Source organism: Homo sapiens, chromosome 13 (genome assembly GCF_000001405.40).
Source record: "Homo sapiens chromosome 13, GRCh38.p14 Primary Assembly".
Lineage (NCBI taxonomy): Eukaryota > Metazoa > Chordata > Mammalia > Primates > Hominidae > Homo > Homo sapiens.
In genome coordinates this window covers 43,968,012-43,972,792 of record NC_000013.11, presented here as the reverse complement: position 1 = coordinate 43,972,792, position 4,781 = coordinate 43,968,012, and the positions used below count along the sequence as shown (strand labels likewise).

General features: G+C 57.4%; 1 pseudogene; it reads right to left on the bottom strand.

The window, feature by feature from the left end:
* Window positions 1,083-4,470, bottom strand: DGKZP1 (diacylglycerol kinase zeta pseudogene 1; annotated as a pseudogene).

The following is a 4,781-nucleotide window of genomic DNA, read 5'->3' as shown; positions in this document are numbered from 1 at the left end:
ATTCTACCAGAGGTATGAGGAGGAACTGGTACCATTCCTTCTGAAACTATTCCAATCAATAGAAAAAGAGGGAATCCTCCCTAACTCATTTTATGAGGCCAGCATCATTCTGATACCAAAGCCGGGCAGAGACACAACCAAAAAAGAGAATTTTAGACCAATATCCTTGATGAACATTGATGCAAAAATCCTCAATAAAATACTGGCAAACCGAATCCAGCAGCACATCAAAAAGCTTATCCACCATGATCAAGTGGGCTTCATCCCTGGGATGCAAGGCTGGTTCAATATACACAAATCAATAAATGTAATCCAGCATATAAACAGAGCCAAAGACAAAAACCACATGATTATCTCAATAGATGCAGAAAAAGCCTTTGACAAAATTCAACAACCCTTCATGCTAAAAACTCTCAATAAATTAGGTATTGATGGGACGTATTTCAAAATAATAAGAGCTATCTGTGACAAACCCACAGCCAATATCATACTGAATGGGCAAAAACTGGAAGCATTCCCTTTGAAAACTGGCACAAGACAGGGATGCCCTCTCTCACCGCTCCTGTTCAACATAGTGTTGGAAGTTCTGGCCAGGGCAATCAGGCAGGAGAAGGAAATAAAGGGTATTCAATTAGGAAAAGAGGAAGTCAAATTGTCCCTGTTTGCAGACGACATGATTGTTTATCTAGAAAACCCCATCGTCTCAGCCCAAAATCTCCTTAAGCTGATAAGCAACTTCAGCAAAGTCTCAGGATACAAAATCAATGTACAAAAATCACAAGCATTCTTATACACCAACAACAGACAAACAGAGAGCCAAATCATGAGTGAACTCCCATTCACAATTGCTTCAAAGAGAATAAAATACCTAGGAATCCAACTTACAAGGGATGTGAAGGACCTCTTCAAGGAGAACTACAAACCACTGCTCAAGGAAATAAAAGAGGACACAAACAAATGGAAGAACATTCCATGCTCATGGGTAGGAAGAATCAATATCGTGAAAATGGCCATACTGCCCAAGGTAATTTACAGATTCAATGCCATCCCCATCAAGCTACCAATGACTTTCTTCACAGAATTGGAATGACAGAGGAGCGGGGAGGGTCGCCGGAGCGGGTGCCAAGCAAGGCAGGGCAGGCAAGTGCAGCAGGCACTGAGTTTCCGGGAGGAAGCCCGGGGGAGGTGGGGTGGGGCAGGAGCGGGGGCTGGGGACCCGGCCGAAGACCAGGGGGCCCAGGAAGCCTCTTCCCGAAGGCCTTCCCCTCTCCAGCCCCTCCACTCCTGGGAGGGCATCTGCTGCGGCCAGGGAGCGCCCTGCCCCAGAACCCCGGCAAAGGCATATCCAACCCAGCCGTGTCTTGTTCCCTGTGAGCCTCCGGGTCCGGCGGGGTCCTCAGGGGAACAGGTGAGGCCCCCCAGCTCCTGAGTCCAGCCCTAGGTCTGTGCGGCTCCTTAGGGGGCGGCATGGGGCTCTTTCCCTGGGGCCTAGGTCCCCCCGTGGCCGTCCCACTGGAATGTGGCAGTGAGGTGGGCAAGGAAGGCGCTCATCCCCTGGCCGCATTGTCCCTCCTGCTGCCCGTGGGCGGCCCGCTACACAGCCGTCTCCTGGTCCTCCCGCTGGATCATCTGGTAGTGCTGCCGGTTCTCCAGGTAGGCCGCCAGCTCGGTGTCCTGAGCCTTCTCAGCCTGCTGCCGGGGAGTGTCGCCCTGCTGGTCTGGCCCCGGCCTCCACGATGTAGTGGCAGATGGTGCGCTGGCCCAGGGCCGCTGCTTGGTGCAAACAGGTCTCCCCGTTTTCCTCCACCGCATCAAGGATCTCTGGGGGAGCGTGGTCCAGCAGGTAGCGGACCACATCCTTGCTGCCAGTGCTGACTGCGTGGTGCAGGAGCGTGCGACTCTGCTTGTCTCGGTGCATGATGTCGCCCCCAGCTCGGTGCAGCTCCTGGAGCTTACAGAAGTCGTTCCTCTTGGCAGCCTCAATCAGCTCTTCACCTTGAGGGGGTGCAGCATCCCCTTGCAGTGACCGGGGCGTGGGTGAGCAGGGTGAGGTGGGGAGAGGGGAAGTGGGGGTTGGGAGGTCAGGCCGGGCCGATGCCCCCAGCAGCTCAGGGTCCAGGATATAAATCTCATCCTGTGCGATCTCAGTCACATAGTTGAGGTGCTCCTGGGCTCGGTTGATCCTGTAGAAGCGGCTGGCAGTGGTGGCGTCCAGGAAGCACCACTTGGGGGACAGTTTCTGGCATGTCGGGGACTTGGCTCCAGCACCATCGGGCTCCTGCTGGAGTCTCTCAATGTGGGCACGGCAGAGCTCTAGGTCACTGTCTCCTGGGACCACCACAGTGCCCAGCGGCACGGAGGCCTCCTTGAGCTGCTCCTTGTCGTAGTGCAGGGCCTCATAGTCGTGCATGCTGACGCGTCTCACCTGGATGCGCAACTGCTCTGGCACCGGCTGCTGGTCGCTGTGCAGGGGGGCGGCGCTCCGCCGCTTGGCCTTCTGCACCATGGTGGCCTGGTTGCGCAGGGCAATGCGGATGCGTGAGGCTGCAAGCTTGCAGGGCTCGCCATCCACCTGCACCGGGATGGCCTTGGATGTGGTGAGCACCACCTCGCGACACTGCGTCAGCCGCTCGCCGTGTCCGCCCACCTGCAGCGCGGCCAATGACGTCATGGTGAAGCCAATGACCTCGAGGTAGCCGTCGTCATGCCGCTGGGGCTCAAAGTCGTGGTGCTCCCCAGGGTGGCCGCAGGGCATGGTGCCCGCACAGTACCTGGGGATGTTCAGGAAAACAACACACTGGGGTTTCAGGTCCTGGATCTTGGGAGTCAAGTCCATTCCATCACACACCACTCGGATGTGCTTGGCCAGGTCCTTGGAGCTGCCCATCAGGAAGTCAGAGAAAGCTGTCCCGGCGTAGAACATCTTATTCCGAAAGCGGCTGTTGAATTTCTCTGGGTTGGCCTCTCGAGACTCGTGGAACTCCAGGGTGACGTGGGCGTCAAAGCCCAGGCTGAAGTAGTTGTTGAAGACATCCAGGGGCAACCGGTCGGTGGCGCCTTCATCTCGGTCCTCAGGCCCTGCCTCGGGGTTGGGCTCAGCGTGGAGGTCCCAGCGGTCCAGCTGTACCACGTTCCCCTCCTCCACGTGGGAGAGGATCTTGGACACAGGCTCATCTGTGTAGCCCCCACCCCAGTTGAGGGTTCGGGCCAAGTCGTTGCCAGTACCCAGGGGCAGGATGGCAACAGGGGGTGGCGGCTTCAGGCGTAGCTGGTCCAGGGTGGAGAGGATCCAGCCCACCGTGCCGTCGCCCCCGCACGCCAGGATCCGCAGGTTGTGCACTTTGCGGTACATCTCCAGCGCCTCCTTGGGCCCTCCCTGGCTCAGGTCGAAGACTTGTCGGGGATTGAGATACCAGAGGAAAGACTGGATGATCTTTGCACCCTGGTTGCCCCCACTCTTGGGGTTCACAAACACCAGCAGGGGCTTCATGAGGGGGGAGGGGGTGGGCCTGATGATGAAGGGTCTCCAGCGGCCCTCCTCAGGCCCTTTCTTGCTGGACTTCCTCTTGAAGGATGCCCTCTTCTTCTTCTTGCTTGCTTTCAGAGTATTCTGGGGCCTCCGGGCGCGGAGGATCCAGGTGGGCGGGATGACCACGGCTGCGTGGACCCCCAGCGAGCACGGCTCCTCGATCTGCTGCAGCACGAAGCAGGACACCTTGCTGTGGTATGCCTGCTTGCACCACGAGCAGCTGATGGCCACAATCTCCTTGCTGTGGAAGGTGAACTTCTGCTGGAATCCCTTCCCACAGTGCCGACACTTGCCGTCCTGGCGTCGTCTGTGTACCCAGTGGTGCCATACAAAGGTTGGCTCGAGGACATTCCTGGAGCCTGATTCACGGAAGGATGGCTTACAGCGGAAATTTATCTTCTCCAGCTGCTCGATGCAGGGCGTGTGCACCACAATCTTGCAGGCTGCGCACTTTCTTCGAGACACTGACTTCTGCAGCATCCTGGCTACACAGTACTGCTCCCCAACGTAGCAGAAGTCCCCGGACACGTTGGTCTCGAACCAGATGTGCTCCCCATATGTCGCCGACTCGCTCCAGTCCACTGTACTCCGGATCTGCCGCTCTGACTCGCTGCACCGGGCCCCAGGGGTGGGCGGAGGGGGGGCCAGGTGCTGGAGGCCAGACTTGGTGATGGCTTTCCTGTGCCCGAAGAGCCGCAGCCCCGGGAAGCGCCGCTTGTTGAGTCGCCGCGGCGCCTTGTCCGGCTCGGGACCGGCGTCGCGCTCGGAGCCGCTGGACGAGGCGGAAGCCGACTCGCAGTCGCTGCTCCGGGCCTCCGGGCTACCGTCCCGCGGCTCCATCCGGCCCTAGCCCCGGCCAGCGGAGGGCCCGCGGGAGACGCCCATGCCGGGCCGGCGGCCGGGGCTCAGCACGCCCGCTCCGTGCCGCCCGCCACCTCCATCTGGAAAAACTACTTTAAAGTTCATATGGAACCAAAAAAGAGCCCGCATCGCCAAGTCAATCCTAAGCCAAAAGAACAAAGCTGGAGGCATCACACTACCTGACTTCAAACTATACTACAAGGCTACAGTAACCAAAACAGCATGATACTGGTACCAAAACAGAGATATAGATCAATGGAACAGAACAGAGCCCTCAAATAATGCCGCATACCTACAACTATCTGATCTTTGACAAACCTGAGAAAAACAAGCAATGGGGAAAGGATTCCCTATTTAATAAATGGTGCTGGGAAAACTGGCTAGCCATATG